At 49.6% G+C, this 12,411-nt stretch overlaps 1 protein-coding gene and 1 long non-coding RNA gene across 15 annotated transcripts in view; one reads left to right on the forward strand and one right to left on the reverse strand.

Moving 5' to 3' along the window:
- The window catches only part of LIG1 (DNA ligase 1), a 54,900-nt gene that overhangs the window by 28,729 nt on the left and 13,760 nt on the right, over nt 1–12,411 (reverse strand). For 6 of the 13 annotated variants that reach the window (NR_135499.2, NR_135498.2, NR_135497.2 and 3 more), the window contains 4 exons: nt 9,699–9,794; nt 7,059–7,166; nt 5,915–6,037; nt 5,590–5,668 (listed from right to left, as the gene is read on the reverse strand). Coding sequence is in view for 6 of the 13 variants with exons in the window: in NM_001320971.2 (NP_001307900.1) it covers nt 5,590–5,668; nt 5,915–6,037; nt 7,059–7,166; nt 9,699–9,794 (406 nt within the window). In the remaining 7 variants the exon portion in view is untranslated. Of the gene's footprint in view, nt 1–5,589; nt 5,669–5,914; nt 6,038–7,058; nt 7,167–7,294; nt 7,562–9,698; nt 9,795–12,411 lie in introns of those variants that run through there. The other 7 variants (NR_135501.2, NR_110296.2, NM_001289063.2 and 4 more) reach the window with 4 other exon arrangements.
- LIG1-AS1 (LIG1 antisense RNA 1) lies at nt 1,684–11,252 on the forward strand. Of its 2 annotated transcripts, none has more exons than XR_007067281.1 (3): nt 1,684–1,709; nt 1,795–1,945; nt 11,169–11,252. It is a non-coding gene; the product is annotated as an LIG1 antisense RNA 1 (long non-coding RNA). The 2 variants fall into 2 exon arrangements; XR_007067280.1 differs by lacking the exon at nt 11,169–11,252 and adding an exon at nt 3,093–3,238.

Raw genomic sequence — 12,411 nt, forward strand, 5'->3', positions numbered from 1 at the left:
TGTTAAAAAAATCTTTCAGAAAACAAAAGAAAGCCGAGTAGAGGAAGAGGATGAGATGAGGGTGCTGCTTCACAGGGTGGTCAGGGAAGGCCGGAGACATCTGGGCAGAATGAGGGAGGGGTTAGCACAGTGGGCAGCAGGGGACGAGCATTCCAGGCAGAGAGAATAGCGTGTGCAAAGGCGCTGAGGTGCAGACAAACTTGAGAAACAGAAAAGGGATTGCGTAGCTGAGCTGGGACAGAGGGAGGTGCGTATAGTCCCGGGTGTCGCAAAGTGCCAGGTGCCATGCTAACACCACATCGATTAACAATCAGACATGGGAGGAAGGGACCTTTCCTTTTTTCTTGAGACAGAGTCTCACTCTGTTGCCCAGGCTGGAGTGCAGTGGCATGATCTCGGCTCGCTGCAACCTCTGCCTCCTGGCTTCAAGTGATTCTTCTGCCTCAGCCTCCCAAGTAACTGGGATTACAGGCGTACACGACCACACCTGGCTGATTTTTTTGTATTTTCAGAAGAGACGAGGTTTCACCATGTTCGCTAGGCTGATTTTGAACTCCTGACCTCAAATGATCTGCCTGCCTTGGCCTCCCAAAGTGCTAGGATTATAGGCGTGAGCCACCGTGCCTGGCCAGAAGGGACCTTTCTAACTTCCTTTTCCGGATAAGGAAACTGGGGCACAGAGTGATTAACTCACCCATGGCCACACAGCTGGTAAGCAGCGCAGCTCTAGAGACAGTTCCCAACCTCTATTTTTTTTTGAGACAGGGTCTCACTGTCGCCCAGGCTAGAGTGCAGTGGAGCAATGCGCACTGCAGCCTCAACCTCCAGGGCTCAAGGGATTCTCCTACCTCAGCTTCTTGAGTAGCTAGGACTACAGGTGCAAGCAACCATGCCCGACTGATCTTTGTAGAGATGGGGTTTTGCCGTGTTGCACACGCTGGTGTCTCACTCCTGGACTTAAGCGATCCTCCCACCTCGACCTCCCAAAGTCCTGGGATTATAGGCATGAGCCACTGCGCCCGGCCTCAACCTTTATATCGTAAGTAGCTCACACTGACCCCAGCCAAACTCTGCATTCAGACTCATCTGGGTTCCAATCTGCTCTGCCCCGGCCAGCTGTACCTGCTGAGGAAGCAGCTTCCCCTCTCTGAACCACAGCATCTCCATCTGTCTGGGGAGCTAAGGGGTCCCTACTATGACAGGTTGTCCTGAAGGTTACATAAAAAATGACAGTGAGGGTTCCCACTCCTGGGTGCACTTCATGGAACAATGAGGACTCCCCAGCCCCAGGCCTACATCTGTACCAAAATGGGGACAAGGGTTGGGGGGGAGAAAGAGACCTCAGGATATTTTTCAGCTCTTCAGCTGATTCTGATGCTCACACAGGGCATGGATGGCCAAGACAGATAGTGCCACTGCAGGGCTGTGCATGGCCTTTGGTATGAACTTGGGGTTTAACAAGCGGTGGCCGGCATTACAATGAGGCAGCAGAGTGTGGTGGGCAGGGGAGTCTAGAGCCAGTCAGCCTGGCTAGAACCACAATGCTGCCACTCCCCACCTGTGTGGCCTGAGCATGGCATTAAAAACAAATAAGAATAGTAGCAGCAGTTACCGTGACAACATGCTGGTCATAATCAAGGCCAGACCCTGGGCTAAGTGTTTCACATCCTCAGAAGAGAGACACAGAAAGGCTAAGTCACTTCCTCAAGGTCACACAGCTGAGAGAGGTGGAGCTGGGATTCCTAGCCAGTCCTCAATACTGTCCCACCTCCCCGCTTTACTTTTCTCACCCAGGAAACCAGGATAACAACAGAATCTACTCCCAGCAGTGTTGTGAGGATTTGGAGCATTGCGTCAGGGAAAGCCCGTTGCTGAGTGCCTGGCACGTGGGGAAGAGTGGGTGGAAGAACATGCTTCCTCTCATCACTGTGCCCCCATCTGAGAGGTGAGGAAATTGGAGAGTGGGAAAGTTTGCCTGTCTCTTGGAGGCAGCCATTGGAGACAGAGGGGAAGTGACCAGGCTAGGAATGGTGCAAGAAAAGCAGTCATGCCTGGCGTGGTGGCTCACGCCTGTAATCCCAGCACTTTGGGAGGCCGAGGCAGGCAGATCACTGAGGTCGGGAGTTTGAGACCAACCTGGCCAACATGGAGAAATTAAAGGGGTTTGGAATAATCCCTGCTGTTCAGCAGAAAGGACAGGTGGGTTAAAAAGTATGACGCAGTGAGTCCAAAATCTCTTTGATGTCATGCCTCTACAAATGAAACAGATAACGACAAGAAATTCTTTCAGCTTTAACATTTCATGATTAAAGTTTAAGTCTAACAAAAAAGTGTCTGTCTCTATTAAAAATACAAAAGTAGCCGGGCATGGTGGCGCATGCCTGTAATCCCAGCTACCTGGGAGGCTGAGGCAGGAGAATCACTTGAACCCGGGAGGTGGAGGTCGCGGTGAGCTGAAATCGTGCCACTGCACTCCAGCCTGGGCAGCAAGAGCAAAACTCCGTCTCAAAAGAAAGAAAAGCAGTCGTAGTATCACTTGAAATAGAAAACAGAACTTTATATACAGTAGGACACTGATTTTATTTGGAAAACATATTTATAAATACACAAACACGGACACACACTCAGGAGGCACGATATGGCAATGGGGAAGAAATAACTGCTAGGAATCAAAAACATTCCTTAGGGTCCCAGGCCTGGCCCTACCCCCACCTCCCTGTGTGACCTGGCGAGGCCCGACCTAACCTCTCTGGGCTAATCATGTCAATGTGTGTAAAATGGCTAAAGTGCTCCCTTCCTCCACAGGAATACTGCAGAGAGGACGTTAACGTGCTATTTAACCTCCTTGATAAGGTCTCAATTGGGGGTACAAAATTGATGTCAAGAATCCTCCGAACACTTTTTTGTTAGACTTAAACTGTAATCATGAAATGTTAAAGCTGAAAGAATTTCTTGTCGTTATCTGTTTCATTTGTAGAGGCGTGACATCAAAGAGATTTTGGACTCACTGCGTCATACTTTTTAACCCACCTGTCCTTTCTGCTGAACAGCAGGGATTATTCCAAACCCCTTTTCCGTTAATTTTTTTTTAGCTTTCAGGACATCAAGAATTCAAGAGGGGATGAAGTCCACGCTGCTAACACCATCACATTGTATTTGAAAACACAATCTTTAGAGGAAAAAAATAACTTCAGATGGATATATGATTATGTAAGAAATCAGGCTGGCCGTGGTGGCTCATGCATGTAATTCCAGCATTCTGGGAGGCTGAGGTGGGAGGATCACTTGAGTCCAGGAGCTCGACCTGGGCAATGTAGTAGGACCCCATCTCTACAAAAAGTAAACAAAAATTAGCCCGGCATGGTGGTACATGCCTGTAGTTCCAGCTACTTGAGAGGCTGAGGTGGGAGGATCCCGAGCCCAGGAGCACCACTGCACTCCAGCCTGGGTAACAGAGCAAGACCCTGTCTTTAAAAAAAAAAACAAGAAACAAAAAACAAAAAACCCAAAAAACCTAAGTTCTATAAAGAGGAATTTTTGTCTGATTTGTTTCCTACCAGATCTCAGGCACCTAAAATCCAGTAGCTAACACGTAATCAGTCCTTTGTAAATACTTACTGAGTAAATAAATGAGTCCATGATTGACTAGTGAAAAAAAAAAATCTGAAAGTGCTCATTTAAATTTCTTTCATGGCAGATTTCCTGGGCTTCCTAGGGGCCAGCCCCAGTGCTGGGAGCTAGGCAAGAAGACTAAGAAGGCTGGGACCTCCCACAGCCCTGGCTCTGTGGGAAGGAGCTTATGTCTGGTTAGGGAGGCTCTTTACCATGTGACAAGACATAAAAGACAGTCTGACTCAAGTGCTGGGGACACGCACCTCCTCTCACACATGAAGGGAGAGGCACCCGGCTTCCCTAAGCAGGTGCAATAGGAGTTGGGGCCTGAGGGAAGCCTGCTGGGCAGGGTGGGTTAGGGACAGTGTTGTAGGCCGGGGTCAAGCATGTTCAGAAGCAGGGAGGAGGCTGGGTGTGGTGGCTCACGCCTGTAATCCCAGCACTTTGAGAGGCTGAGGCGGCCAGAACACCTGAGATTAGGAGTTCGAGACCAGCCTGGCCAACATGGTGAAACCCGGTCTCTACTAAAAATACAAAAATTAGCCAGGCTTGGTGGCGAGGCACCTGTAATTCTGGCTACTTGGGATGTGGAGGCAGAAGAATCGCTTGAACCTGGGAAGTTGAAGGTGCAATGAGCTGAGATCGTGCCACTGCACTCCAGCCTGGGCAACAGAGTGAGATTCCATCTCAAAAAAAAAAAAAAAAAGCAGGGAGGAATGACAGCACGTGGGGACATGGTGTGCAGAGGGAGCAGGAAAAGGCTGCAGATGCCAGGAGGCTGCAATGTAAGGTGGACAGGGCTGGCTCATGAGGGCACTGGGAAGCCCAGCATATCCTCTATGCTGGGGAGAATCGCAGATGGGTTTTGAGCATGGCAGAGATGGGGGGGTGACCTCATTACTTTATAGGATATTTATCCACCCACGCATCCAATCATCCATTCAGCCAGTCTTCAGTGCGGCCTCCTGTGTGCATGTTAGATGTCGTGGGAATCAGCCCAGACATCTCTTCAAATAATTAACAAAATTACAGTGAAGCAATTAATTGCTTAACAACCTATTCAGTGTCCCACAGCCCCAGCACACTAAGCACATCACGAGGGCTGGGGCAGGGCGGCCGGCTCTCTATGGTTCATCCTCGTGGGCCGCCCAGGGCTGGCAAAGAAGGGGTGTTCAGTGAATTTTAAGGCAGAGTAGACGCGCCTGCAGGCTTCCAGCACATACACTAAATCTGGTGAGTTCAGGCCAGGTGTACTGGCTCACGCCTGTAATCCCAGCACTTTGGGAGGCCGAGGTGGGTGGGTCACCTGAGGCTAGGAGTTCAAGACCAGCCTGACCAATACGGTGAAACTGTGTCTCTACTGAAAATACAAAAATTATCTGGGTGTGGTGGCATGCACCTGTAATCCCAGCTACCTGGGAGAATCGCTTGAACCTGGGAGGTGGAGGCTGTGGTGAGCTGAGACAGCACCACTGCACTGCAGGCTAGGCGACAGAGCAAGACTCTGTCTCAAAAATAAAAAATCTGGTGAGTTCAGAGCCAGAGGAACAGAGAGGTAGGAAGTGAGGCCAGAGAGGGAGGTGGCAGCCAGTGGCCAAATGGGCTTAGATTTTCTCCTGACGGCTCTGGGGAACCCTAGAGGGGCAGAGTCAACTCTGGGTGTTAGAAAGATCCCCCAGGCTCTACGGGGATCAGACTGAGGATGAAAGACTGGAGGCAGGGTCAGAGGGTGGCTGGGGCCACGGTCAGCAAACTCCGACCCTGGACCGTTTCTACAGGTTCTGGGATCTAAGAATGGTTTTGCAACAGGGGCCAAATGTGTCCCATAAAGCCTAAAATATTTACTCTCTGGCTCTTTATAGAAAAGGTTTGCCAAGTCCTGCAAGAGGAGGAAGCCTGAGCTGGGGGTGGGGCTGTCGGAATGCAGAGAAGGGAACACATCCCGAAGAACCTTTCCAGACCTGGACACTGACTCACCCCTCAGCAGCTCCCTCCTTTCCTGGAGCCCCTGGCTCCTCTTCCTTCACTTCTTTTTTGACTGCTGGCTTCCGGGGGGCTAGGAATGAAGACAGAAAACAGTGGGTCTTTTCTCCTTCCGGTAGCCCCCACCTCCCATCCATTCTGCACCCAGCACCACCCCAGTGCTCAGGGAGATGGGAGACAGGCTGGTAGAGACAAGGCCGACTTTCCAACCAGCAGGAAAGGAAGAAGGGTCTTCGCAGCATCTCAGGCCTCTGGAGAGAGGCTCACCAGCCTCCTGCCTGTACAACCCCGGGAGGTGGGGTGAGCAAGGGAAACTCACTGAAGAAGCTGCTGAGCGTCTTGGGAGCTCTGCGGGGAGGCTTGGTCTGCTCTTCCTCCTCCTGCAGTTCCTGCTTCGTGGCCACCTCAGGCTCTGAAACGCTTTCCGTCGGGGTCTCTGCTTCTGCGGTGAGAGAGCTCAGACGGTGATGCAAACTCTTTGACCCTGAGACTTTTTTTTTCTTTTTTTTTACCCCCAAGATCATTCTGACCCTGCAGATGGAAGATATAACTACACCTACCCTTTTCCTTTCTGTTAGCTTTGAGCTGAGATCTCAGGCCTGCTGTCTACTCCTCAGTGCTAACTAGCGGAATTCTAGCACTTGGCCTGAAATAGGAGACTTAGGAATAGTGGTAAAAAGAAATCTCATCGTCATGAGAAGAAAATATTCCCACTCCTCCCAGCAGCTGCAGAAAATCAGATACAACTCTGTATCCCTAAAATTCTCCCGGCAAGTGTTGTTTCTAACACAGGGGCCTCATGGACACTTGGACCACCCTGAGAGGGTAACTTCAGCCTCTAAAATCCTGTAACTCAGTTTGGTTGTCTAACTTAATTAATAACATTTAATTTACACCTATGACTTCTGAAAGCTATGAATACTTTTTATCTTTTACTTTGTCTGAGGCGGGGGAGTTCTTGCTCTGTGGCCAAGGCTGGAGTGCAGTGGTGCGACCATAGGTCACTGCAACCTCCACCTCCTGGGCTCAAGCGATCCTCCCACCTCAGCCTCCCAAGTAGCTGGAACTACAGGTACGTGCCACCACACCCAGGTCATTTTTGTATTTTTTTTGGTAGAAATGGGGTTTCGCCATGTTGCCCAGGCTGGTCTTGAACTCCTGGGCTCAAGTAGTCCACCCACCTCAGCCTCCCAAAGAGCTAGGATTACAGGTGTGAGGCACCGTACCCGGCCTAGGAAGATTTTTTAAAGAATGGCTGGCTCTTTCCTCCTTTCCCACATGCATGGGGAAAAATAATAATTAAAAAAAAAAACCCGAGTAATAAAAACTATTATTCTTCTAGATTCGGCATTTAAGCAATAAGTTTGAGAATCTATGCCTTGTTTAAATTAATCATCCTCCAAAGACTTCTGACCCCAAAATCAGGAGGTGGGGCAGGGCGGAGGAGAGGACCAGAAACTCACTGGAGGTCTTTAGGGGCTTGGGAGGCGTGGTGGGCTGGTCCCCGTCTTCTCCTTCCTTCTCTGTGGCCACTTCAGCCTCTGTGAGGCTTTCTTTCGGGGTCTCCTCTTCTGACGATAGACAGAACGGTCAGATGGCAAAAAAATCCCATTGAACCTACAAGGGCATTTTGACTCTGGAGACAGTCTGCCCTCATCTGTCATCTGTTCTTTTTTTTGAGACAGAGTTTCGTTCTTACCGCCCAGGCTGGAGTGCAATGGTGTGATCTTGGCTCACTGCAACCTCTGCCTCCTGGGTTCATGCGATTCTCCTGCCTCAGCCTCCCGAGTAGCTGGGATGACAGGCGCCCACCACCACATCCAGCTATTTTTTTGTATTTTTAGTAGAGATGGGATTTCACCATGTTGGCCAGGCTGGTCTTGAACTACTGACCTCAGGTGAGCCACCCGCCTTGGCCTCCCAAAGTGCAGGTCTTACAGTTCTATCTTGTGCCAATCCAATGTGCCTGTAAAGCAGTGGGCCACGTAAGACCCTGCTCCTTGTCAACCCCAAGCAAGGCAGCGACCTTGAGGGGGTCCAGCCCGTTTGCCTATGTAGCCGAGACATAAATGGTGTGTCTTTCCTTACCAATGATTCCTTTAGTGTTATTCACCCCAAAATAGAATCTGAAAGGGTTAAAAATGCAAATGACAGCCTGTTATAGACAAAAATAAAAATCTTCAAAGTTAAAAAAAAAATCTTACCTCTAGGGTCACAATACAAACTACAAAAACCAACTTGGGAAAAATCTGCCTTAGTAGAAAGAGGCCACCCCCGCCACCCCTCACTGGACACTGACAGTGGCTAAAAGTGTAGTTTACAATAAAATTTGTACTAAAAATTGTCAATAAGAAATCAAATCTTTTTTTTTTGAGACACAGTCTCCCTCTGTCGCCCAGGCTAGAGTGCAGTGGCACAATCTCGGCTCACTGCAACCTCCACCTCCCAGTTTCAAGGGATTCTCATGCCTCAGCCTCCTGAGTAGCTGGGACTACAGGCGCATGCCACCATACCCAGCTAATTTTTATAATTTTGGTAGGGATGGGGTTTCACCATGTTGGCCAGGCTGGTCTCCAACTCCCGACCTCAAGTGATCCACCCGCTTCGGCCTCCCAAACTGCTGGGAGTACAGGCGTGAGCCACTGCACCTGGCCAAGAAATCAGATCTTAACCAAATTTAAATCTGCCCTGGAAAATGGACCTTTTATTTGTTTGCAGAAACAAAAAACCAAATGACGTTAAAGGCTGCAATTGGTGTAATCTCATGCAGGCCCCAGATGATCAATCGATCAGATCTTTATGGCTGTTTTCGGTGGGTTCACCAACATGCAGGGAACTCACTGGGCGCTGCAAGATATTTTAGATTTTTCAAAGGAAACCCAGCGACACCTGCTGGCCAGTGTGTGAACTACTAGTTCGAGGTATTTCAGTTTTCAGTATTAAATCACATTCCTTGCAATGACATTGCATCTCTGCAAAGCTGGGTTTTCATAGGTTGCTGCTATAAAAATCAAGTACTGTACAAAAATCAACATAGAACAGGAAATGACGTTGGCAGTTTTCAATTGAATTCCACTGTTTAAGATGTTACAGAGTATCCAAGGCATTTCCCACAAGTAATTATGGTTATTTAAGAACAAAATACAGGCTGGGCGCAGTGGCTCACGCCTGTAATCCCAGGGCTTTGTGAGGCCGAGGTGGGCAGATCATGTGAGCTCAGGAGTTCGAGACCAGCTTGGTCAACATAGTGAAACCCTGTCTCTACTAAAAATACAAAAATTAGCTGGGCGTGGTGGTGTGTCTGTAATCCCAGCTACTCGGGAAGCTGAGGTGGGAGAATCGCTTGAGCCTGGGAGGTGGAGACTGCAGTGAGCCCAAACTGTGCCACTGCACTGTAGCCTGAGCGACACAGTGAGACTGTCTCAAAAAAAAAAAAAAAAAAAAAGCACAAATATTACTTTTTTTCCAATGTATGTATAGTATCTAATAGTTGTTTGGACATAACTACTTAATAGAACTGATAAGGTATTGGCCTAGGAGCATCATAAAAAAATTACTAAGACATCAAGGGTGCTGTGAACTAAGAATGTTTGGGAACTGCAACTTTATGGTAAAATTTACAAGGAAAAGGAAATCATTTAGAGGAAAAATAGTTTCCATTAAATAAATATAAAAATAGCAAATAAAAATGGGAAACTGTGCCTGAATTATTACTAAATTAAGATGTCCAAACAAATATATCCCACAATGTTTTCAGAACAAAAGTTCCCATATTGGTAGGTGGAATTCCTGGATGCCTGGACACAGGCATCAAATCGGCAGGGTCCAAACATCCTGAGCTCTCAGGCCCCTGCCCTTGCAGATCCAAAACACACACACACACACACACACACACACACACACACACACACACACACACACACCTCTCCTTCTGGGGGCTCACCTTCCTCCTCCTCCTTCCTCTTGGCTTCACACACACACACACACACACACACACACACACACCTCTCCTTCTGGGGGCTCACCTTCCTCCTCCTCCTTCCTCTTGGCTTCACACACACACACACACACACACACACACTTCTCTCCTTCTGGGGGCTCACCTTCCTCCTCCTTCTTCCTCTTGGCTTCTCTGTCCTCGTCCTCACTCTGCTCTTCCAGGACTTCCTGAATGGTCCGTTTCGGGAGCTGCTTCCGAGCTGGGGAGGCAAAGGGCTTGGTGTATCTGACCTCGCTGGCTCGTGTGCTCCCATCCCGGAGAGCTCACACCCACTGATGTAGCCTCTGGAAGGCTCTGGGCCCTCTCCCCTTCTCTGCCTGCACACAGTCACTGCCCCAGTGCAGGCCGCACCCTTCAATCCCTCCTGCTTCCTGGCTGTGTGACCTTGGGCAGGTTACTTAATTTCTCTGTGCTTTGCTCTCTCACGACTGCAGAATAGAAATAATCCCCACGAGTAAACAATGATGTAATGTACTTGGCACAGTACCGATTCCAGCAGGTCCCCTGAGCTCCCCACTGCTCCCCTCAGATCTTAACTGCCTCCAAGTGTTCCAGACAGCTTCCCCGGAACCTCAGAAGTCTGGAAGTGGCAGGGAATAAACTAGCCCCAGGAGAGGCCCTCACCCCACGATCGGCAGGAGTTGGTGTATAAATACCCCAGCTGCCTCGCATCTCGGGGGTCACTCTGGAGCATTTACACCGTTCCCCAGAGAATCCCACAAAACTAAGCTCCAGCTGCCCAACACATAGCAGACCCAACAGCACATCCTGTGTTGGCTGCTCCCCTGTCCTGAATCACCCTCTGTTCCCTGCACCTCCTAAACAAACCACTTGCACTTGAATCCCTGTTTCAGAGCTTCAGAACCTGCTTCTAAAAGCCTCTAAACTCAGATACTAACCCATGATGAAGAGCTCACACAAAGGCAGTTGTACCCATCTTCACTGTTATATCTCATGTTGGCCATTGCGCCACCTGGTCCCCGGTCTCCCGGCCCCCAGTGGCTCCTTCACGTGGCCCCAGAGGGACCTTCTATCAGCATGGCTGGCACTGTCTCTCCCTGCTCAAAACCCTTCCATGACTCCACATTCTCTGCTTTATCCAGGATAAAGTCTTTTGATGTCTACCCCGATCCTACCTAATCTCTCTCCATCTGACCTTCTAACCCTTCCCACACCACATACTCCACCTTCTTTTATATCACTGCTAAACTGGGGTGTTTCCAGACACACCAAGCTGTGTCACCCCTCCAGGCCTCAGCATGTGAGGTTTGGGACATAGCTCAATGTTGCTCCCTCTGAACAAGATCCCCTGACACACCCCCAGGGCCAACCTCAGCGTCCACCTGGAGCTCCCAGCATGCCCTCAGCCACACTGTGACTTCCTTATGGCCACCTTTCATTCAGGGATGAACCTGCCTCCCCACCTCACAGCCCTTCCATGGCTCCCAGGACCCACAGCACGAAGCCCAGGCTCCTTAGCTGGGAGTGCAAGACCTTTTGAGATCCAGCCCCCACTCTCCTCTCTAGCTCACCTCTCACCACGTGCTATCCTCAAACTCTCCCTGCTTCCCAGGTCGCATCCGATTCTCCAGAAACAAGGAAGTAGATGAGAGGCCCCAAACATCCCATGCTGTTCCCATCTCGAGGCCTCTGCACGTGCCCTTCTTGTCTGAAATGCATGCATCTGTCCTTTCTCAACATGGCCAACCCCAACCCATCTTCTAAGACTCGGCTCAGCCATCACCTCCCCTGGGCTGCTTGACTTCTGAGCTCCCAGAGTACCCTGCGTCACCCAGCATCGTCCGATGGAAAGATCTGGCAAGCCACGTATGTAACCTTAAACTTTCTTGCAGCCACGTTAATAAAAAGGGGGAAAAAACCAGGTTGAACTTGGTTTGAAGAGTCTATTTTGCTCAATACATCTAAAACAGTATGATTCCAACATTCTGTTTTCATGCTAGGTCTTCAAAATCCAATGAACTCACTGCACATCTCAAGTTGGACACCAGATTTTCATCGGCAACATGATCTGTGTAGGTTTCATAAAATGTACAGCTATTCACATACCAAAGCTGTTCCAAAATGATGTGGAAAAAGTGCAAAGTCTTTACGCACTGAATCACATATTAGCTTTCAAATGTAAATTCAACTGAAAGGATCTAACATGAAAGATTCAGCTCCCCTGTCACACTCACCACGCTAAAGCGCTCAATAGGCTAGACCGGACGGCAAGGGCTCACACTGCCCCGCATTACGAATGGGTCTCTCGCCCTGTTCTTACCCCACAGCAAACATTCCAAGTCCCCCTTAGGACAAAGACGCTGTTCCCCAAGCTGGTTTTCCAGGACCTTCTCACCTCATTGCTCACCATCCCCAATCCTGCGCTCTACACGCCAGCACACCAGGCCCTCAGCAGCCCCCAGGCCTTCTCAATTTCTATGTTCCCCTTGCCTAGCATGCTCCCCTCCTCCTTTGCTTGTTGCCTCTTCTTTGTCCTAAAGGGCTCAGCTTGGTTAGCCTCTCTTCTGGAAGTCTCCCTTGAGCCATGGCCCCGCGCTTGTGTTCCCACATGAGCTGTGAGGCCTCCATCTCAGCGCATAACTACAGTCACAATGACCCACAATGACTGAGCCCCGACTGAGGGCTGGGCCCAGTTCTGAGCAGCGTACACGTGTTATCTTCTAACTCAGATATTTCTGTGCGGTAGGTGCTATCATTATCATCATCTCTACAGATAAAGCAACCTAAGCTCAGAGAAGGTCAGTCATTTGTCCCAGGTCATACAGCCAGTGGATGGTGGACCCGTGCTCTTAACC

Source organism: Homo sapiens, chromosome 19 (assembly GCF_000001405.40).
Source record: "Homo sapiens chromosome 19, GRCh38.p14 Primary Assembly".
In the NCBI taxonomy this organism is placed as follows: Eukaryota; Metazoa; Chordata; class Mammalia; order Primates; family Hominidae; genus Homo; species Homo sapiens.